Source organism: Homo sapiens, chromosome X (genome assembly GCF_000001405.40).
Source record: "Homo sapiens chromosome X, GRCh38.p14 Primary Assembly".
Classification (NCBI taxonomy): domain Eukaryota; kingdom Metazoa; phylum Chordata; class Mammalia; order Primates; family Hominidae; genus Homo; species Homo sapiens.
In genome coordinates this window covers 50,977,474-51,001,817 of record NC_000023.11, presented here as the reverse complement: position 1 = coordinate 51,001,817, position 24,344 = coordinate 50,977,474, and the positions used below count along the sequence as shown (strand labels likewise).

The 24,344-nt window shown below is 41.0% G+C and overlaps 1 long non-coding RNA gene across 2 annotated transcripts; it reads right to left on the bottom strand.

Moving 5' to 3' along the window:
* Positions 1-9,604: 9,604 nt before the first annotated feature.
* ASMER2 (adipocyte associated metabolic related lncRNA 2) lies at positions 9,605-22,674 on the bottom strand. Of its 2 annotated transcripts, XR_001755849.2 has the most exons (3): positions 22,425-22,674; positions 17,906-18,037; positions 9,605-9,694 (listed from the first exon to the last, which is right to left on the bottom strand). It is a non-coding gene; the product is annotated as an adipocyte associated metabolic related lncRNA 2 (long non-coding RNA). The 2 variants fall into 2 exon arrangements; XR_938374.3 differs by lacking the exon at positions 9,605-9,694 and having other exon boundaries at positions 17,597-18,037.
* Positions 22,675-24,344: the final 1,670 nt, after the last annotated feature.

The window sequence follows — 24,344 nt, the reverse complement described above, 5'->3', positions numbered from 1 at the left end:
CAAGTATGTTCTTACGCTCATCCACCCACAACCTCTACACCTCCAGATCACCCAGGCCACATCTACCGCATCTCAAGCAAGCACATGTCCTTCTGGAAAGAAGCAATAAAATATGTGGAGCCAAAAGAATTATTTAAGTATTTACTTCCAGTATTTAAAAGGGAAGCTGGAGGGAAGTCGACTGGCTAGGCAGAGATAGCTTTATTACTCTCTACATTTTTCTGTTTTACCACTGCCCCAATCTCAGAATTTGAAGGTTTCAAGAGGGCCATATCCCAAAGCAGAGGGTGAGCTGCCCTCTAGAGAACTGCAGCAGTCAGGGTTCTCCAGAGGGACGAAGACAGGACCAATAAGATATATTTGTGTATATATTTATATAGCAGGAAGTTTAATAGGGAGAAATGGCTCACACGATTATAAAGATGAAGCCCCATAATATGCCCTCTGCAATTTGGGGAATAAGAAAAGCCAGCAGGATAGCTCAGTCTAAGTCCAAACACTTCAAACCCAGGAAAGCTAATACTGCAGTTCCCAGTCTGAGGCTAAAATCTTGAGATCTCCCGGGAGGCTGCTAGTGCAAGTCCCAGAGTCCAAAGGCCATGGATCCTGGAGATGGCTGTCCGAGGAAAGGAGGAGAAAATGGTATCACATTCCCAAATGTGGGGAGAGAGAGAGAGAGAGAGAGAGAGATAGAGAAAGTCCCCTTCTTCTGCTTGATTAGTTCTAACTGCACCAGCAGCTGATTGGATGATAACCACCCACATTAAGGGGGCTCTTCCCCTCCCAGTCCACTGATTCACATCAATCGCCTCTGGCTACACCCTCACAGGCACACCCAGAGACAATGCATCACCAGGCACGGAGGCATCCCTCAACCCAGTCAAGGTGACACTAATATTAACCATTTCAGGAACCTTGGATGTGCTCCCACCTTAGCAAGAAGAAGAGGTGGGTTGACAGTGAAGCTGAGGCTTGGGGTAATACTCTCACCTCATGAAAGTGGCGAAACATGACAATAATCTCTAGAACAGTAGTCACTCAAGACACACAAGGATGGTAGATGGGCAAAGGCTCATTCAACAAAACTCCCTGAAACAGTAAATTTTCCATGGAGCCCACCACACCAACCGAGAACCGAGTGATTAGGTGAGATTGCTTCATCCCACAAACAAGAGAACACAGACTCCTCCCACTGATCCTTCTTTGGGAGTGTCTGGGCAATCAGGTTTACTATATGGGAAGCAGCAGCGACATCACCAGGTCATGTAGGTCATGCTTCCAGGAAGATGTGATGAGCTAGTAGTTCCAGAAAGGAATCCCTGGCAATCACCAGTTGAGCTTCTTGCCGTGCAGGCTGCAATGTAGTGAACAGTCCAGGCTTTTCTATAAGGTGCCTTTGCCACCCTTAGTCTGCATAAGGGACCTTGATCAAAAGGTGATGCATTGCTAGCATGTACCATGTCTGTGTTCATTTCTCTGACTTTCTCCCCATCTTTCTAGCTCCAGTTTTTCCTTTTGCTGGTCCTCCCAGCCTTGTCTGGAAGTTTCAGACTCAACAGCATGTTTTAGTTTGCTGAGCAGAACAGAAACAACAACAAAAGCCCAAACTGAAGAGAGGATATTGAAAATTCTTCCAATTCATTTTGTTGTGCTAAAGCCTACATTGTTTTTCAAACATTTCACAGCCTCTCTCATGATTTGTAGAAGAAAACATACAAGAAACAAGCATATGGATATCAGGAGATTTTTATCATGCCATATAAAGGAGTGTATTACACACGTATATGTTAATATATATACACAAGTGTGTGTGTGTGTGTGTGTGTCAAGAAATAGAACATTACAGCCTCCCAGGTGCTTCCTGAGGTCTCTTCACACTGGCTGCTCCTTCTAAGTCTGTCTTCATTTTTATTTTAAGCATATTATTAAATATGTAACAGTAACATAATATATAAATTATATTCACACTGAAAACAGTAACTGTAGGGCACACACCACTACCTAAAGAACAGAATACTTCCTGTAATTTACAAACCGCTAGTATGTCCCTTCCTGAACACATCCCATTCAATCAAATCTAAATGTACCCCTTGCCTGACTTTCGTAAAAGTCTCTACTTTGCTTTCATTGATACTTTCTACCATCTTCATTTGCACCCCTAAACACTATAGTTTTGCTTATTATTAAAGTTTTTTTTTTTTTTTTTTTTTGAGACGGAGTCTCGCTCTGTCGCCCAGGCTGGAGTGCAGTGGGGCGATCTCGGCTCACTGCAAGCTCCACCTCCCGTGTTCATGCCATTCTCCTGCCTCAGCCTCCAGAGTAGCTGGGACTACAGGTGCCCGCCATGGCGCCCGGCTAATTTTTTTTTTTTTTTTTTTGTATTTTTAGTAGAGACAGGGTTTCACCATGTTAGCCAGGATGGTCTCGATCTCCTGACCTCATGATCTGCCCGCCTCGGCCTCCCAAAGTGCTGGGATTACAGGCGTGAGCCACCACGCCTGGCCTTAAACTTTTTTTTTTTTTTTTTTTTTTTTTTTTTGAGACGGAGTCTCACTGTCGCCCAGGCCGGACTGCGGACTGCAGTGGCGCAATCTCGGCTCACTGCAAGCTCCGCTTCCCGGGTTCACGCCATTCTCCTGCCTCAGCCTCCCGAGTAGCTGGGACTACAGGCGCCCGCCACCGCGCCCGGCTAATTTTTTGTATTTTTAGTAGAGACGGGGTTTCACCTTGTTAGCCAGGATGGTCTCGATCTCCTGACCTCATGATCCACCCGCCTCGGCCTCCCAAAGTGCTGGGATTACAGGCGTGAGCCACCGCGCCCGGCCTGGCCTTAAACTTTTTAACATGCAATTATACTGTTTACTTCTTTCGATTTGCAACTTTTGCTCACTCTAATGAGGGTCATTTATCTTGATGCTAGTAGCCATAATTTCTTTATTTTTTACTGCTGCATATATTTCATTCTATGAACATTCCAGAATTTACTAACCACTTCTAATAAAGAGGAATATTTGTATTGTTTCCAGCTTCAGAGTATTATCAAGGGATGCTATGAACATAGCAAAAAAAAACCTTCACATTAAATGATCTCCATAGATATTTGGAACTTTAATTCTCAATGTGTCCAATGTTTTGAATGACACTTAGCTTTACTACTTTTTAAATTTTCCTATACATGTATAACCGAAAGTAAGAGAGTTTTAACATTTTGACAAAAATATTTAAAAGTCACAGAATGAGCATAACTTTTCCTATGGTTATTGATATCGCGTGGTATGGTTGCAATTTGCATGGTCATTTGCATGGTCATTTCATGGTCCTCCAGTAGGTGCAAAGCGAGGACTGCCTGTACTAGTAAAACTCCTCCTACCTTTTTCTTAATCTTTGGAATTCTTGGCCTACTGCATCACTGTATCATAGTTGGAATCACCTTGTCAAATGCCACGCAAAAATGACTGCTTGGGATTTTGTTTGTGGTCACATCGAATCTTTAAAATGATTCAGAGAGAACTGATGCTATTACAACATGAAGTTTCACAGTCAGTGAACATAGTACATCTCACTATTAATTGAAGTTATCATTTATTACTATCTGTATTAGTTTGCATGGGCTGCTGTAACAAAGCACTACACCCTGGGTGGCTTAAACCACAGAAATGTATCCTTTCGCAGTTCTGGAAGCTACACGTTCAAGATCAAGGTGTCGGCAGGGTGGGTTTCTTCTGAGGGCTCTGAGGGAGAATCTGTCCCATGCCTCTCTCCTAGCTTCTGGTGGTTCCTTGCCTTGTGGCAGCTTAACTCCATTCTTCACGTGCCATTCTCCCTGTGTGTATGCCTGCCTGTGTCCAAATGTCCCCTTTGGATAACAACACTAGTCCTTGGACTTAGGAGCCCATGCTGATCTAGTATTACCCAACGTCATGTGTATATTTCTAGGTATTTGTTACAGCAGCACACTACTTCTCAGTACCAGAATCCATTCATTTGCTATGGCTGCCTTAACAAAGTACCACAATTGGTTGGCTTAAACAACACAAATATATTGTCTCACAGTTCTGGAGGCTAGAAGTCCAAAATCAAGGTGCCAGCAGACTTGGTTCCTTCTAAGGGCTATGAGGGAAGGATCTGTTTGAGACCTCTCTCCTTGGCTTGTAGTTGGCTGTCTTCTTCGCATGTCTCTTCATGGGGCCTTTCCTCTATGTTTATCTGTCTCTGTGTCCAAATTTCACCTTTTAATGAGGACTCTGGTCATACTGGATTAGGGTCTGTCTTAATGACCTCATCTTGCTCATTACAACTGCAATGACTCCATCTCCAAATAAGGCCACATTCTGAGGTACTAGGTGTTACAACTTCAACATACGAATGGTGGTCGGGAGAGCCACAATTCAACCTGTAACAGGAGTATCTCTTAAAAAAAGGTTATAGTTTTTTTTTCCATGTAGGTCTTTACTGTGTTGGATTTATTCCATGTACTTTCATCCATTATCATTTTATTGTCTCTCTGCTTGGACTGCATCCTTACATATATGCTGTTTGATAAACAACGTGATTCCATTAAGCATTTCTTTTTTCAAGTGAACACAATAAAAGTGAGCTTTCTCAGTAGAGGCTGGTGGAGGAACACTGAAGGGGGAAGAGGCATTCCTTCCATTTCCAGCAGAGGCAGGGTGAGTGGTGTGGGTGAGGCCATCAGGTGGAGCTATGCCACAACCACTGGCCCAAACTACAACTTATGCCATGAGGGATCCTTCCAAGTGTTTCTTTCCTTGCGTACTTTCCGCTAGCCGTATGGTGTCATATCAAGGTTCCATAAATCTCATAGTTAATCTTGATCACAGTTGAATAATTATTTGTATTAAAATAATATGTTTAACCTATGTAGTTTCTATCTTTTGATTAGACCCACGCTGATTTCTGATGATATTATTGTTAGTATATTTTAATTTACTCATTCTCTATCACTCTTTTGCCTATGTATTGGTTTGTAAATCTTATGTGTGTGTGTATGTATATGCATATACATATACGATCTAGTAGTGATACTTTTGTCTAACAATTTATGTATGAGTTATTTTTGGTTTTCTAGTCTATTATCAAATCACCTATGAATAATGACAGATTTGCTTCTTCATTTGTAATCCTTACACTTTTACTATTCTTGCCTTACTAAGTAAATTAAGATCTCCAATAGAATCATCAAGGGAAACTATTCCTCAATCTCAAAAAGAAAGCTTTCAGTATTTCAAAATTTAGTAGGATACTTATTAAAGTTATTTTTTAAAGATATCCTTTATCCAGTTAAGAAACTTGCTTTCTCTTCATGGATATCAGAAAAGTTTTATTATGAATGCAGCTTGAGTTTATAATTTATTTCTAAATGATAGACCATCTTGGTCTTGATATGTTATTTCATCTTGGTCTTGATATGTTATTTTGTTCATACATTGCTGAATTTAGTTTGCTAATATTTTCTTGAGGATTTTCCATCTATTTTCATGGGTGTGATTGATCTCTTATTGCCCTTTATTTTTGTGTCCATCATCGTATTCGCTATCAAAATTTTACCACATGATATAAATTGGAAAATGTTCTTTTTATCATATGTTCCTTAGAACACTTTGTATAATATTGGGATCATTTTCTCCTTTAATGTTTGATGAGCCTCGAGTATTTCATTTTTGCTTTTAATTCTTGGGACAATTTTTAATTACTCATTCATTTATTTTAATATCTACATACCTCTTCATGACTTCTGTATCATCTTGAATCAAGTTTAAGTAAAATTTTTCAAACATTTGTTAATACATTCAAATTTTCAAAAATATTGCCATAAGACAGTGTATATTTTCTCATTATGTTTCTTTATCCCTATGATATATTATGCATATACAAATGTGAATGAAACATAAATATACATATAAAATATGAACATACAGTCTTATATTTCAAAAGATATACGCTTTTCCTTTAAAATTTAAGTCCATCCAAAATGAATTTTTGTTTCTGATGTGAGGGAGAGGCCCAGTTTTCTCAAGACTAATTATGGAAAAGATAGTCAATTTCCCATGGTCTGCAGTGCCATAATTACCATTAATTAAGTTTTTCATATGCAAATGAGTCTGTATCAGCACCAAGCTGATTCACACCTTGTTCTTTTTCAAATGAATCTTCTTTTTCATGCACATTTGGATTTTATATAAATTTTAGAATCAGTTTGGCAATTTCCACACATTAAAATATAGAGGTTTTTTTTTAATTGCATTGAATATACAGATCAATTTTGGGAGACTACGCATCTAAAAACTATAATTTTCCAGGCCATTTACGTGGACGATCTCTCCACTTATTTATCCTCTTTTTCACTCTCACTAATATTCTATTATTTCTACTCAAATTGATTTATGTATTTTATGAGCTTTTCAAGTAAGTGTGCATTTTAATGTGAGAGTGTATTATTTTTCTTGCTTACATTATTGAAGTATAATTTTAAATCACTAAAGTTCACTCTTCTTGTGTACAGTTCTATGAGACTTGACAAATACATACCACAGTAGGCCCACCACCACAGTCAAAAAGTAGAACAGCTCCTTCACCATCAAAAACTTCCTCTGTAGGAAAAATGCCTCTATAGACAAACCCTGCCTCATCCTCTGGTCCTAGCAAACTGGCTGCTCCCAAGAGAAGCCCGTGGCCGAGAAGTTGTCCTGCTGAAACCAAAATTCAAGTGGAAGGAGGTGGCTTACTTGGTGTCATAGGCGACCTTGTCAGCAGAAGGGGGTGACCATGGCTGATGACCTCTGGGTTTGGAGCTGACATATTCTCTCTCCTCATTTAGCATTCCTAATAGTCCCTTCAGTGCTCTCCTCCTATCTCTCTGGTAGCTTCTTCTGAGGAGGCTTCACTGGCTCCTTTTCTTCTTCCTGCAAGAGATTCTCTCTCTTCCCATTGGCTTGTCAACAGCTACTTCTCCTTCAATTTTCAACCTAGGTGCTACTTTCTCAGAGAAGGCATTTGTACCTCTCCTCGAATCCCCCCCAATGAGATTTGGTTAAGTCCATACTGTTCTACACTCCCACAGCATCCTATATTTTCCTTGACAATACTTTTTCTACTTACAATTACTAGGTAAACATTTTGTAACAATTTGTTTCATTGTAAAATGTGTTCAATGTCTGTCTGAAGCACTAAACTCTATGTTGCTGTTCTGTGGACCACAATTGTCAGAATCCACTACAGGATCTGGCACATGGGCATTGTTTAAGGATGTGTTTTAACTGGCTGACTCTGATATATCCATAATGATGCTACCCAAGGTGCCATTCTTGGCAACGCCTCTTTTTTTTTTTTCCTGCTACATTCCCTTTTCTATTCTTCACTAATCTCTTCTTCATCTTCCCATTTCATTAGACTCATACTTGTTCAGTGTCAGCTCAACTATGTCCATGATGTCAGGCAACGACTGTGGATCACTCCTCTACCTGATCCCTGCCCAGCCCCTCTCCAGGTTTAGGTATTTGACTGTCCCTAGAAATCCTCATTTGGAAGGCTGATAGCACCCACTGGAGACCACTGAACTGTTTCCCTAACTCCACTCCTGCTCTACGTCCTATCCAAATTTCCTCCTTCCCCTCTTGTGCCTAAAATCTCAGTTCATGATACCATCATGCAACCTGTCTCCTGAGCTGGAACCTGGAATTCATTTTACATCTTACCTTCTCCCTACTATCTGTTTACCAACTTTGGTCATTCCTATCTTTTTTTTTTTTAGAGATGGAGTCTCACTGTGTTGCTCAGTTTGGTCTTGAACTCCTGGCCTCAAGTGATCCTTCTGCCTCAGCCTCCCAAAATGCTGAAATTACAGGTGGGAGCCCAGCCCATCCCTAAATGTAATGCTCTCTGAACTCTATTTCCACTCCTCCATCCAACTCCACTACTACAGCTTGAGACCAGGGCCACATCAGTTCACCTTGATTTCTTTATTTGGTGCTGTTTCTCACCCTGCCTTCCTTCCCCTTACCCACCTCCTCACCTCCATTTCATTCTCCAAGGCACCATCAGACAGGCCTGTCCAGAATGCAGAGTATTTATTTTCCTCTCATGCAAACCCCTCACTGACTTCTCACTTGCTGCCTGTAGGATAAATGGCAAACATGTCACCATCGCCTATTAGGAGAGTTTTGAACTTGCTCCAGTATTGGATTCCTAATCTACCTTGGGCACATCAGCTGCCCCAGAACCTGGGCTCTGACTGGGCCCTTAAGTTCATATATCAGGTCAGCATAGTTCACACACAGTCCTGATAGCTAACAGTCGGCTGTGCCCATATTCTGCTGACCTCTGCACATGAATCTTTGACTGACAGGCTGTCAGGATATAGCATCCAGATCCCAGGAGCACAGCCTGGCTGCCTCATTTCCTATATCAAGCCTGATGTCTCACTTAAGTGACTTCTACAGAATTTTCCAGGCATAAATAGTTCATTGCTCTCTCTCACTAGAACAAAATTCCATGGCAGCTATGGTGGCCACCCTAAGGTGGCCTGCACTCTGGCAATCCTTCTGTATCAATAGGATCTGTGGACCTCCAAACATGATGTCCTGAATATCCAGCAATACACAAAGGATCAGCATGAAGCTCACTCTGACAGGATGAGGGAACCACCTGTGGGAGCCAGAAAAACCTAGCAACCAGATAGGTACTGGATCTGAAGTAACTTATTTAGACACTCATTGCAGATTCCCCACCTTCTCTCACTGTGGTTTCTGGTCCACCTGAAAGGGCCTACTGGATTCAGAATCCAGAATTTAATGACATAGTTGCTTACAAAGTAACATAAGTACAAAATGATGTGAAGGTTGAAAGTAAATAGTTTTAAATGCCTTATTATTTTATTACTACAAACACATGGACATTATACAAACATTGAAAATACAGATTAACACAAAACAATAAAAATTCCAGATTAGGCCAGGTGCGGTGGCTCACGCCTGTAATCCCAGCACTTTGGGAGGCCGAGGTGGGTGGATCACCTGAGGTCGGGAGTTTGAGACCAGCCTGACCCACATGGAGAAAACCCATCTCTACTAAAAATACAAAATTAGCCGGGCTTGGTGGCGCATGCCTATAATTCCAGCTGCTTGGGAAGGCTGAGGCAGGAGAATTGCTTGAACCTGGGAGGTGGAGGTTGTGGTGAGCCAAGATCGCGCCATTGCATTCCAGCCTGGGCAACAAGAGCAAAACTCTGTCTCAAAAAAAAAAATCGCAGATTATGCATTATTCTTATTTAATGTTTCTTTTCTGTTCACTTTTTACAATATGTGAAGATTCCATTTCTAGTCATTAAAACATTAAAAATGCTGAGTCTATTTGTGTTTTGGTTCATGTTGAGCACTACCAAGGGTCTTTCCTTTTCCAGTCTTTTGTAATCAGAATCTCAAATTGCTGAAGTCCTAGGGCCCACTTCTCCGGCATTAATTTGCTTTGTAGTTGTCTCAAGTTTTCACAGGTCATGACATTTGGAACTTGACAAGTCAATGTGCCAGGCAACGAAGACAGCTTATTTGATGGAAGACTGGTGTTCTTTTCCAAGCAGCTGATATTATGCTAGAGTCAGCTTCATTTAAAAAGCAGGTGCAACAGGAACCGTCCCTTGAAAATGTAGATCCCATCCCAGTATTAGAGGCAGCAATTCCTGTGATAAAGGGATAGGGGGAGCAAAAGATGAGGCCACAGGGAAGGGTCTCTAAGGGACCCTAAAAGTTGCCTCATGAATCCAGAGTCCATTCAAAGCTCTCCCTCCTATTTCTTGAAAAGATTGGCCACTGGGGTGTTGAGTTTAGAGAAATAGGTATGAGCCTCATAATCTCAACCCCCAGCCACTCCCAACAGATCTGACCTTTACTGTCTGGGCTTGCCATGTGGGGATTGTGCTTACCATGCCTGGCACCCTCTCCACTCACCAGGTGGTGAAGTGCAGCTGAGGCTTGGGGTGGGTCATATGTATAAGGGGTGGGGGCAGGTACATTCTGAATAAGGGAACTGTGAGACAACATGCCTCCTCTCGAGCACCTCAATAGACATTTACATAACCTAAGGACACGTGAAGATGTTTTCTTTTGGAAGTTTTACTGGTGATCCACATTTTTAAAAGGAATATAATTGTCACCAGAAAATACTGTTGACCTTTTGTTCTCCAACAATGACCAAACAACAAGACCAAAATTAAACAAAACAAGCACCTTTCACTATTGTTATTGCACTCAACAGCAACTTCTCAAACTAGGTCCTCTCAGCCAAAACTGTACACTTGAATCTTACTTGGAACGATAGCTGTATTTTTGAAAAGTTATATACATCACATTTTTTCTTTGGTTATGCATTCATTAAACAAATATGTATTTATCTCCTACTATGTACCAGGTCAAATTCTAAACAAATGTAATTGTGCTAAAATGTTCTATTAGAAAGAATTCTTGTTTTAGAAAACAAAGTGAATAAAGTCCCTTTTACCTGTAATATTTTAGGATTCTAGTTAAAGTCACCCAAATGGATCCCTTTTATGAAATACAGTCCTTCAAATTTGTTTATTTGAAAAATTTACATTTTATATATTTTGCTTAATTACGGGATACCTATATCACCTTCTTTTAATAAAATTATAATGTCTGTCTAGGTGTTTGTGTACAGTTAGAATAAAATCTTAAGAGGTCCTCTATGTGATCCCACCCAGTGAGTGATTCCTTCCTACAACTTCCCTGGGAACGGGCATTTAACTTCTGCTGGAACATCGCTGGTGATGGGAAGCTCACTACCTCACAAAACATTTTGTTCTAGGATCATTCTCCTCCTTTAAAAAGGTCCTTGGTGAATTTCACCTACAATGAGGGTGAAATTACTAGTGTGCTGCCAGTCATCTGGGTTTATCTGGAAAAATAGTAAAAAGAGTAGTAGCTCATATGGCCTGAGACAAACATGGTATAGGAGAGCTTCAAGAAAGGATAGCGGGTATTGGGGAAGAAGACTCTGAAGGTCATAGAAAGATCTAGTCTGAGTCCATGGTGGAGCCTGCTAGAGACCAGAGGAGGTTCTCTTGGTTTTAGAAATCCAGCTGGCAAGCAGGGAAGCCTTTGTGACTGGAGCAGAATGAGAGAGGAAGCAGGAAGAGGCAGCTGAGGGCAGAGAGGGAGGCAGGGGCTGGATTTGGATTTTCTTCCCTAAGTTTGGAGGAAAACATTTGTGTATTTTTCAGCAGGCGGTGATGTTTTTGGCTTTTTGCTTTTAAAATACCATGACTCTATTTGGTCAAATCTCTCAGCATTCCCCCTGCCCTGTCACTTTATACCTCACTCCAGAAAACCTGGACTACTCATAGTCTCCTGAATGTACCAGGTGGAAGAAGCCCATCATGGTTCCTTACACTTACCTGCCCATCCGCTTCCCTGTTCCTGTCATTCCTTCCTTCCCCTCCTTGTCTACCTGGCAAAACTCTCACTTTGCTGCCAAGGTGGGCTCTACCATCACCTGCTCTGGAAGATTTCCTTTACTCTCTCAAGCCAGTCTGGGTGCTTTGTATCTCCATTACCTCAGGTACATGGGGTTAACATGTATGCAGCTGAACAGGTAAAGCCCGAAGACCACGGTGCTCTCTGATGAACATTCCAGGTATTACCCTCAAATCTTCTGCCTAAATGGATTCATTCACTTATTCAGCAAACATTTATTGAGCACCTGATAAGTGCCTGTTAAATGGTCAGAATCCATAAGTGAAAAAGACAGTGGAAGGTATTTGTGCATTGGAGGAAAGAGCCAGTTAACAGATTCCATTTGAATGCTCTCCCTCGGACTTCAAGATGTGCTGAAGGGCCTCTTGGTTGGCCCATGGTTTCTTCAAACACTGATTAACAGCTGGAGTGGCATCGCTGCTGGGTAGGAGGGGAAGTTGTAGGCTCAGTAGCCTTAATTGAAGGAAAATAGGGAGTTCTGAGTAGAGCATGTCTGTGAGTTAGTAAGTGAATTCCACGGGTCAGGCTAGGTGGACCAGAAGCACTGGCTACACTGAACATGTTACTCAATGCATTCCAGAGATTTGGATGTTCCCAGGCAGTGGGCTGCTGGGTACCAGAATGGTGAGAGTGCTTTACAAAATAGGGTTTTGGTGGGTTTTTATAAAATAGGGTCTTGATATTCCTAAAGATGATTGCATATATATTAAGAAGCAAGGAGTGTGGAGGGAACTCCAGTCTGTTCTTCAAATGGCAGCAGTCACAATGAAGTAAAAGAGGGGTGTCCCAATTGGGTCATGAAACAAAAGTTCCCATGGACAGTGAAAGCCTGCCTCTGTGAGGCAGTTCTCTAAAAACTTAATGTGAGACAGAAGTGAGAAAGAGAAATAGGGACAGAATGTCACAAAGTGCAAACTACTTTGACAACTTTTTCATCACTTCCAGCATGCATTTGTATGACAAACCCAGAAACAGTTTAAAGAGCAAGAAGTAGAGTGAAATGAATGGTTAGTGTAGACCTACAACACTCTTTGGGAAAATACTATGTACGAAGCAAGAAAAACAAAACAAAAACACAACAACTTGCCTCACTGGAGCTCAGCCTGGTCAGATATACCACAAAGCAATTCACCTAAGTGCAATTCAGGCTATGCTAAAGGGACATACCCCATTCCAGGGCAGCCCAGAGGAGGAAAGGCTGACTGCTGGGTTGGTTGGGAAGGCTTCTTAAAGAGAGGACATCTGAGTTAGGGCTTGAAAGATTGGTAGAAGGCTTTCCAGGGAAGGAATGATTCATGGAGACAGGTTTTAAGACAACCTAAGCTGAAACTTTGAATGTTTCTTCATCTCCAAGTGGGGGATGAAGGGGAAGCCCACATTAAAGATTCCTTTTCTTGGGTATTCAATTAATTATATCCCAGCCTTCTGTTTTGCTCATCAGCTGGATGGCCATTAGGTGGCAGCACAAAGTTAGAAATTGTGTATCCCTGAGCCATTGCATGCCTTTGCCTACAACTCTCATAAATCAGGATGCTTTTAATTAACATAATACAGAAGCCAGGTTCAGCTCTCTAGAAAATTAGCAAAATCCTGCTTTACAAGATTATGCAGGGTGTCGCTGCACCCAGATTATGTCTGTAGAGGCCTGTGATGGAACTCAAAGCGCTGACATCTACTCTGAAGATCCCACAGAGCTCATGAGGTGCAAGTGTAAGCTTCAAGCAGGATGAGAGATTGGGCCTGCCAATCAAGGTCTATTGGGTATTCAGAGCAGCAGGTAGCCATGTAAGAAACAGCATCCCAGGGCAACACTGCCACAGGGGCACTCACTACACTTAGGATATCTACTTGACGGAGTGGACAGCAGTGACATTACCAGTCCCCTACAGTCATAAGATTGTAGGATGTGATATCTGGACAGGGTGTCATAGATAAGAGTCCAGTCTTTCCGTAATGGATGCTGTGATGTATCGTCCAAATCCCCCTTGAGGACTAAATAACTTCTTCCCCTAGCTGCTGGAAGTGCTGCCTGAAAATAGCTCTTTGGGAATTTCCATTCTTTGAAGACAGCTGTCTTGCACAGGACAGCACTAACCAATGACCTGCCTTATGGGGGGATGGTGTAAAAACCTTATCCCTGATCCCCTGACTCCAATTTAGCATGACCATCTCAATTCCAGAGGGCCCTATGAGGTGATCTGCAGCCTTTGTTGAGGCTGTATCACAGTTCAGCCTCTCCCTCCAGCCAGTCTTGCTTCTTTACTTCCTCAACAGGTGTCAGTTCTGATAGCACTCCCAATAAACTTCCTACACACTAAGCTCTGGCTCAGAGGCCGCTTACCTAGGGAGTTTAATCCCACCTTTGTTTTACTTGTGGGGAAACTGAGGCAATTTGGAGGGTCATATTTCAAGGAAGATTATAATTCTAATAAGAATAATACTTAAAGACATGTTGAATATTAAATAAGGATATCCCCAAGGGCAGGGGGTTGCCTGTTTTCTTCCCTACCATAACCCTAGCACCTCCATACAGCAGGCACTCAAGAGGTATTAAATAAATATGAATCTAGGTTATACTTCTCAATGTCTCTGGTCAGGTGTTTTCTTGTTGAAATCCCATAGCTGTCTTCAGAGGATACATTCCTCTCTATCTCCACAGAAAATGAAAGGAAGCCCCAGAGAACCATGACCCACTCTGTGCCAGTCTTTGGGTGCATAGACTATATTGCCTTCACAAGACTGTCAAACTGAGAATAGATGCCCAAACTATATTCATGGACATTGGCTGGAAGAATGCAAATATTCAGACAGACCATGTCTGTATTATTGAGGCCAGGAGAAATTAGTTGTGATTATCTCTTAATTAGTGCAGAGAGCATTCCTCTGACTTTCACAGAGATTGACCTTGTTAGCACACTCTTAAAACTGCCAATTTAAAAAAATCTGATACAGCTAGAAAAAAGAATGGTGTAGGAAAAGCAAAGTGTTATAGCCCATAGCAGATTAAGCATAGTTTCTGCAATAAATGATGATTTGTTAAAATCTAAGTACTGCTACTTTATCAGCAGAGTGACCCTGGGAAAGTTACTTAACCTCTGCCTTAGTTTTCTCATCTATAAAATGGGGATGAAAATAATAGTATCTCCTTGAAAGTTTTGCTGTGAGGATTAAGTTAATATATGTAATGTGTGTAGACAGTACCCAGCGTATAGTATTTATAGGCTGTTAGTTATATATAGAATCCCATATTATCACATTCCAAAGAGAATATAGGTACTGGATTATGTATCCAAGGAGCCTGCAGAATCTTGGATGTCCTTTGCTTTAGGATTATCTGACTGTCTCTGTGGCTCTGAGTGTGTGGCCCAAGAATCTGTATTTTCAATTTGCCCTCTGAAAGTTGAGAATCATTGCTTTGCCATTTCAGTAGCCTAATATAGTATCCTTTTAATAAAAATTATCTTGCAGCCTTTGTGTTAATGCTTAACCCCAGGAATACTAACTAGGGCCTTCCTAATTAAACAGTAAATTATTTTACTATCTGCATGTGTAAGAATCCTTGAGGAGACATGAATTGGATTGGCTTGGTCCTAACTGAATTCTAAGTAAGGGCAGATAACTAATAGCTGACAGTTGGTAGCACCAAAGTTCCAGCAGTGTTCTTTACACTGGTCAGTAGGTCATAGAGATGACCACCATGATAGCATCTTCCTTTGCAAAAGTTTTCAACAGTCACTTAGGAGAATTCTTCCCATGGAAATCCATCTATGATTTCATAATGGAAATCAATAGGGTTCATGGAATTCACTTTAAATGCTATTTAGTTTTAGAGTCTTCCATATGAGCATTTGTGGGAAGTAATCTATCCTACAAAACAAAGTGTATATGTTTTAAACCATCAAGGGTTTTGAAAGCAAATATAAATAATATTCATTCTATGACCAAGTACCCCATTCCTACTGGCAAAGAAATCAGATGGCTACAGGTTTATCTTTAACCCTTGTGAAAGTGATTTGAGACACACTAGCTTCTTGACAGATATTTGTATGGTTTAAACCATGTTTCTTATTTTATTGTCAGTTTCATACAAGACCAAATCTAAAGCCAGATAAAGTAAAGATTTAATCTATCTAACATTTACTCACTCTGGAGTCAAACAGTCTATGTTCCTAGCAGCCATTTGCTTCTGGATGAACCCCAAAGATTTGGACTCAAATTAGACTTTGGGATTTTACTGGAAGAAAAATTACTAAAAAATGTCCCTTAGCGTTTCCAGGAGAGACAGATTTCAGGACTTTTAGTCTCAAAAACTGACCCCAAGCCTGATTCCCTTCTAAGTAGTCCGAAGCTCCTCAAGGAAAGCAAGTTAGTTCAGCAATTCTCTAGTTAGATTCTGAGCCTGGAGATGGTTTTAAGAGTGCTAGAATCTCTAGGGTATTTAGAACAGGTCTAACTTCTCCAGGCGTAGTTGTCAGCTATCTGAACCCCAGGGAATCTCTGGAATGAGCAAGTTTCTGACCAAGTCTCAAGGCACCTGCACAATTCAATTTTACAAGCTTCTTACAGGTCAAGGCTCTTGGAGACTTCCATGATTTCATAACATCTTCTCTTCTACATAGTTGCAAATTGATGGACGGTTTGGTTCCAAGAGCTTTTCTTCATTTTTTACTGTGATTGTCTTTAACATTGGCTACATACAGAACTTTGTTAAACATGTGCACTGCAGCAATGTAAAAGACACAGTCCTGGTTTCCGGAATTTAGACTTATATGAATTACATTTACCTGTTTAACTCCCACCGCTCCAGAACTCTGCTCCAGGGAACTTTTTATTTCATTGTTTTCCACTTTGATCAGAACATGTGCTTTGATATATGATTCACATACCAAACAATTTATTCATTTATAGTCTATGATTCTATGTTTTTTAGTATATTTACAGAGTTTTACAATCATCAGCACCACCAATTTTGTAACATTTTCATCGCCCCATAAAGAAAGCTCATACCCATTAGCAGTCACTCTCCATTCCCCCTGCCCTCCAGCCACTAGCAGTGACTACTAATCTATTTTCTGACTGTAGATTGGCTTATTCTTGACACTTCACATGAAAGGCACCATATATGTGATTTTCTGTGACTGGCTTCTTTCGTGAAACATAGTAATTTTAAGGTTCATCCATCTTGTACTATGCCTCAGTACTTCATTCCTTTTTACAGCCAAATGATATTTGATTGTATGGTTATACCATATTTTATTTATCCATTCATTACGTTGAACATTTGGGTTGTTTCTACTTTTAGATACTATGAGTAATACTGCTATAAACATTTGAGTACAAGTTTTTGTGAAGACATATGCTTTCATTTTTCTTAGGTATATACCTAGGAATTGCTAAGCCATATGATAATTCTAGATTTAACTCTTTGAGAAACTGCTGGACTGTTTTCCAAAGTGACTGCACCATTTTATATTCCTGCCAGCAGTGTTTTAGGGTTCAAATGTCTCTACGGGCTCGCCAGTGCTTCTTATGATCTTTTTGATTATAGGCATTGTAGTATACGTAAAGTTGTATCTCATTGTGGTTTTGATTTGTATTTCCTAATGACTAAAACATTGAGAATCTTTTCTTGTGCCTGTTGGCCATTTGTGCATCTTCTTTTGAGAAATGTTGACTTTGACCCTTTTCCGATTTTTGTCCTTTTGTTATTGAGTTGTGGGTACTTTATAGATTCTGGGTGCTAGGCCATTACCCAGTGTATACTTTATAAACCTCTTCTTCCATTGTGTGGGTTGTATTTTCACTTTCTTGATAGTGTCCTTTAAAGAACAAAAACTCACAATTTTGATAAAGTTCAATTTATCTGTTTTTCTTTTGTTGCTTGTGCTTTTGGTATCACTTGTAAGAAACTATTGCCAAATCTAAGGCCACGGGGATTTACCCCTGTTTCCGTCTAACAGTTTTATGGTTTTAGCTATTACACGAAGCCTTTGATCCACTTTGCCTTAATTATTGTATTTGATGTTGTTGCAGGACTTTTCCTTATTTCAGCTAAAGATGGGGTCCTCTGTCCACGGCCACAAAAATTCAGATTTGAATGGTAAGACAGGGTTTTATTGGATGTAAAGAAAGAAAGGGGGGAAACAGGGACTCTCACAAGGCCAGAGTCCCTGCTAGAGCGCTTCCCGCTCGCAACTTGAATCCCAGGTTCCACACAGAGAGAAGGAGTCAGGCACCTCCCTGTTGCAAATGGCATGAACTTCCCAAGGCTCCACCCCAGTGTGCAGGCTGGTTGGAGTTTTTCCAGGGACCCCCTCCCACTTGGCTGCCTCATTCGCCCCTCTAAAGAAGCACATCCAACTGCCCTTAGAATAAGGATAAGTATGAAGACCGATCTTAACTGCTTCCTGCTGACAGGGGTGCTGTTTTGGGGAAACGGCAGTTAAAGCTCCCTCAGAGGCCTGTGTAAGGTTCCCAGCAGAAGGGGCCATCATCAGAGGCTCTGGTTGCATGGCCACTTGGAGTTTGATGACCTGAAGGCAAGAAGAGACAAACCAGTTTATTAGAAAACATGTATCAAGTCGAAACAAGGGGAGGGGTAAGGACAGCTCAGAAATCCTGAGGCCTTTTACCAGTTTGCACATGGAAAGGAGGGCCAAAAGCCTGACCGGTAAAAAAACACTTTACCCTTCTGGTTCCCCTTCCCCTGAGCCCAATCCTAAGCCAACCAGTTTAAGGTTTGGGAAATTAACTCTTACCAGTTTGGAGGATGCATCTGAGGGGAGCATCCCATAGTACAGAGACACAATTACCTATCTGTGAAGAAGACAGAAGAGGAGAAAGGAAAAAAGAAGGTGCCTTTTAAAGGAGTCCCAGGGGTTCAGGATGCACTCAGAAAGGGTACAGACTGAAGATGAATGGCTACCCTTCTAGAAAGAGTGGAGCAGGTATCCCTGGTTCCCTTCTCTTCCTAACAGATACCCGGGGTACGTGAGGGAAAGAGGGAAGAGCATCGTCTTTCCCTCTTCCATCCTTGCATCCCTGAGTCCTGGCGACCATGGCACGTCCCGCCATGAATGTCACAGCGGCTTGCACCAATGAAGCGGGGGAAGGGTGGGTACGGGGTGGGAATCACCCACTCTTACCCACATATGCCCCATCTCCCCTGCTTTTCAGTAGCCGTGGATTCCCTAGACCTCATTTTTGCCATGGATACTAACGTGGCCTTTATCCATGAAACAAGAAGCTTGGGCTTGGCTTGATCGGCAGGAATCAGCCATGCTCACCTGCCCTGTGCCTTTTAACTTCCCATTATCATCCACCTCTGGATCCTTCAGATCCAGTTTTCTTTCCTAGGACTTTGACCCAAAGCTTGGAATTGAGTTTGGGACAAAAATGTGTCTCAGGGTGGGGGGTTGCATGGACTCCTTATTATAAGCTGAATGCTAGGGTAAAGCTGTGGGATTGAGTCTTCCTCCAACAAAGGAGAGAAAAGGATGTCTTGTGACATGCCCAGATAACTGGTGGCTATAGTCATGCTTGCTAGGATTTGGGTGCATGGTGCTTGGCTTTGGTTAGCTCCCTTGGTCTTACTTTCCCAAAAGGAAACCCCTGAGTGATGGGCACCCTATTTATTCCAATCGCCTGGCAGGATTTGTAGGATAATTTCTCAGAACTAGAATATTGATCTGGATTTCTACATTGCCCATCCCTTTTTTTCTCTCTGAGCTGAAGTTGGAGATTGCTGGTTGGTTCACGGAACAATCAGGGTTAGTCTAACATGTAGGCAAAAACTTAAAAACAACTAGTGAGTTTAGAATTTAGTGACAAATGTATGATAAGTGTTGAAACATAATTTTTCTCTCTCTCCAGTCCTCATTTTTGTTAAAAAACCAAATCATCCTAGGACTGAGTGGTTTGCAAAATAAACTTTAGTCTTATACTTGGCCTTATTATTTGCATAAAGTGAAGCAAGAAAAATTATTTCTACAAAGGCCTTTTAGATTGTCTGTGCTGGAACTCTGTTCCCCAAGGGATCTCATATAAGACCTTTTAGGCCGGGTGCGGTGGCTCAAGCCTGTAATCCCAGCACTTTGGGAGGCCCAGGCGGGCAGATCACCTGAGGTCAGGAGTTCGAGACCAGCCTGGCCAATATGGCCAAACCTCATCTCTACTAAAAATACAAAATTAGCCGGGCGTAGTGGTGCACGCCTGTAGTCCCAGCTACTCGGGAGGCTGAGGCAGGAGAATGGCGTGAACCCGGGAGGCGGAGCTTGCAGTGAGCCGAGATAGCGCCACTGCAGTCCGGCCTGGGCGACAAGAGTGAGACTCCGTCTCAAAAAAAAAAAAAAAAAAAAAAAAAAGACCTTTTAAAGCCAAGCCCAGCCATGGGTTTATCCTCAAGTACATGTGAGTTGGGTGATCCTCTCCTCTTAAGGTCCCAAGATAAACTTGGAGCTCTTGGACCTGTTAGAAAGTGACATTCTTTATTGACCACAGGTCAGGAACCCTGTACAGGGACTGGGTAGATGAGGGTATGAGGCCAGTCTCCCCACTGGGCTTCTATCGGCTCTGCAAGCCAAGCTTGACTCCTTAAAGGGAAGCATACCCTTCCAGTCAAAGCCTTGGTAAAATTACCACATTCTCCAATTGTGTCCTGCTGCAAAAGAAAAATTGATTCTTATTGCACTGATGCAAACAACTATATTGCCATAAGAACACTCCAGATAGTTTTCAAATTTAGAGGAACCAGGCAGAGAGAAACAAACGTGCTCCAAATTTTGTTCACAGTGGGTATTACCTTACTCAATTATTAAAAGGCTATAAATAGTTTAACATAAGTTTCCTTGACTCTGAAAAACAAAACACGGATCAGCAATATTCCAAGCAAAAGTCTTAGAAAGGTTGCTTCAGATTTCTGAGTTCAGTCCAGTTAGTTAACTCTTGTTTCACGTGATATTCATGAACATTTCAGCTCTTCGTGAATACTGTACATTTTCCTTTATTCCAATGTTACAATCTCCAAAGTTATCAGAAACCCAATTGTCTCAAACACAATCAGAAATTGTATTTGAGAGCACCTGTCAGAGTCCTATAGCTTATTATAAACCATCTTTTGAAAGGATTAAAACAAGACAACAATTGTCTGTGAATAGCAAAATGTCTAGAGCAGTTATAGTTAGAAACACAATTGACAAAGAAGTTTGGTTATCTCCGTGGTTTACAAATAACAACATAGCAACCTTAATTATGATTGATAGCATATACTTAGACATTAGAATTTTAGAAATCCCATACAATTTTGGAACATATATTAGCATTATTCACCAAGATATAACCTAAAAAAGATTGAACATCACCTTTGGCAATCTCATGTACCTAGACATGTCAAATAATCCTGTTTACCTCTCTTTTCTGGACATTCCAGGGGCCCTCTGGACTATCTGAAAGTTGTCAAGAAAGACAACTTTGAAACTGAAGTTTGATTTTGGGAAGACTGTTAAATGTGTTTAAAGCACTTGATATTATGAAATAGAATTCCAGATTACCATAAGTTATTTATTTTTCCAAAATGATGACTCATAAATTTTAAAGAAGCAAAAACCTTTTACAGCCCTTTTGAATTTAGTCAACATGTTCACACAGAGAACCTCTTCTGCGAGATTAATTTCTACAATTCTTCCACCACTTGTTTGAACCCTCAGTTTTTTCCTAATTCAAAACAATCGTTTAAGCCTAGGCAAAAATTTACATTTCCATGCCTTTTTGTAACCTTTTCCAAAAAAACACATTTTACTGTTCTTACACTTCTTGCATGTAAATTTACTTTCAGTAGCTTCAATTACGTATTATAATGGTAACTCCTAGCGGATTTTTAACTTTAAGGTAAAACTTGTTAATTTGCTTTGTGTGTTAAGTGCAGTCAAGGTTTGACTCCAGCATAATGAAGGGCATGGTTGGTTCCATATGTCCCCAGGCCTTACCAATTGTGAAGCAGGCAAGACAGATAGTTCTCAAAAGCCAAAAAGCAGTTTGTAACCTTAACACATTGGGCAAACCTTGCATCTGACCTGCACAGTTTATTTCATCTATTTACATTTTAATGACACCTGCATTCTACCAATAATCTTTAAGTCTGTTTTTATTTCTCAAAGATTAAAGTCACATGAACTGAAAAGTACCACAGCTTTTATCTTCCCTTTTAAAAATATTTAATCCAAGCGCTTGTCTTTCTTTAAGCCAAATTAATTAGAGCTCATTTTGCAGAAATCATACACAGTACATACACAGACAGGCAGAAAAAAACCCAGTAGCTGGATGGGGCCCTTTAAGAGACAGGGCTAGGAAAACATGCAGCTATGGAACCAGAGAGGGCTCATCCTCTGAGGCAGGATTGCTAAGCAAAGCCTTGCCCCCAGAGTTAGAAGCCATGCCCTCAAGCGGTAAAACAAGATGGAGGCTTGGTTTCACAACCTAAACTTTGCAGAGAATGCAAACAGTGATAGTTGGGTTGGGGTTGGCCTATCTTCTAAAAGAAAAAGAAAACTTTAAAGGTTAACTTGTTGATAGGGTAGAGAAGGGGAAAGAAAAAAGGTTTAAAAATGTCTGGGGAAGAACCTCTTATTCTCCTGCAAGTGGTTCCTCCAGCTGGGAGAGAAGCTTAAGCTTAATTACTGTCCAGTGGAACCAGCTGTGTGGGACCCTTGGGCCATGCATCCCAGCCCAAGCACGAGCACGGAGTGGGGAGCGGCAGGCAGCTGTGGCTCACCAGTCCATCTGGAAAAAGGAAGGAAAAGGCCATGAAAAGGCCTCCTTCCTGGGAGGGCCGGTGGGGGGCACTGTTTCCCATAAGCTCAGAAGTCCCAGGATGAAAAGGTTTAGGAGCAACAGTAAGAGGTTTTGAGTCCCCATTTCACTCACCGCTTCTCAAGTCCCTACGTTGCACGCCAAAAATGTTGCAGGACTTTTTCCTTAGTTCAGCTAAAGATGAGGTCCTTTGTCCCACAGCCATAAAAATTCAGGCGTGCAGACAGTTTGAAGGGTAAGACAGGTTTTATTGGGTGTAAAGGAAGAAAAGGAGGAAAAAGGGACTCTTTCAAAGCCAGAGTCCCTGCTAGAGCACTTTCTGCCCACAGCTCGAATCCTAGGTTCCACACAAGAAGAGGAGGGGCCAGGCTCCTCTCAACTGCAAAAGGCACGAAATTCCTGAGGCTCTACTCCAGTGCTCAGGCCAGTTGGAGTTTTTCCCAGGGACACGCTCCCATCTGGCTATCTCAATGTGAGGCAGAGTCTGACCTTATTCTTTTGTATGTGGCTATTCAGTTGTCCCCGCACCACTTGTTGAAAAGGATATTCTTTCTCCTATTGAATCGCTTTGGCACCTTTGTCAAAAATCAGTTGATTGTAAATGTGAGAGTTCATTTCTAGACTCTCAATTTTATTCCATTTATCTTTATTTTATCCTTATGCCAATGCCACGTTGTTCTGGTTATTCTTGCTTTGTAGTAACTTTTGAAATCAAAATGTGTGACAGCTTCAACTTTGTTCTCCTTTTTCTAAATTATGGTGGCTATTATGGGTCCCTTGAGTTTCCATAGGAATTTTAGGATCACCTTGCCAATTTCTACAAAGAAGCACACTATTATTGTGACAGAGACTACACTGAGTCTGTAGACCACTTTGGAGAATATTACCATCTTAATAATATTAAATATTCTGATCCATGATGTGGGATATGATGAGGTTTCTCTTCAAATAGCCTGATCAATCCTTTATTCTTTAATTCATAGTACCCACCCCTTTTTCCTTTTTGTCTTTTCTGCCTTTGTTACATACCCGGACACGCCACAGTACCAGGCTTATCAGTACCAGCTCACATTCCTTTCCTAATTTGGAAAGGAGACTAGCTCTCTAGCTCATTGCAGACACCCCTTCCCCTTTTTTTACCCTCTCCCTTACATGCCCACCTTATCTAAAAAAAAAGTTCAAATGTCTAGCCAACCGGAATTAGTTCAGATTGCACCACCCAACCCTAGCCAGTGGAGAAAGGGTACAGGGGCAGGACTTGCGTCAGGAATAAAGGCTCTCCTGCCCCTTTGTTCAGGTGTGCTCTCATGGCGACTGGCCAAGGAGAAGCACCCCTCTGCACAGAAGTAAAATTGCTTTGCTAAGACTCCTTTGTTTGAGTGTTCAGTCTCCTTAGGATTTTGAGCATTATTCCCAACAATGAGCATGGGATGTTTTCACATTTATTTAGATATTCTTTAAATTTTTAAACAAAGTGTTGCAGTTTTCAGTTTATAAGGCTTGCACGTCCTTGGTTAAATGTATTCTCAAATATTTTATTCTTTTTGATGCTATTATAAGTGGAATTACTTAATTTTGTTTTAAAGGTATTAATTGAAAATGTATAGAAATTCAGTTGAGTTTTGTACATTGCTCTTATATCTCAGGGAATTTTAAGGGCTAAGCTTACAAATTATATATCCATGTAAGACAAACTGCATTTATGTGTATTGGTTGCTTAGAAAATTTAAGATAGAAAGTTTTTTATCTTAACTTGACCAGAATAATTATTATACAACAATAACTTCTGGGGAAATACATAGAAATGGAAGAAGAAAAGGAAATCAATATTTTTATTGCTCTATTTTGGGCCATTTTAGATGCATTTTCATATCCAAATTTTTCAACAGCCCTACAAAGTACTGTTAGCTTCATTTTGAAAATGAGACTGGGGCTCAAAGGGAATTAATAACCTTCCCAAGATCACATGGCCAAGATGTAGCTAACAAGATCATGGTTTATCTGGGAGACGAGTTGTGTCTTCACAGAATAAAC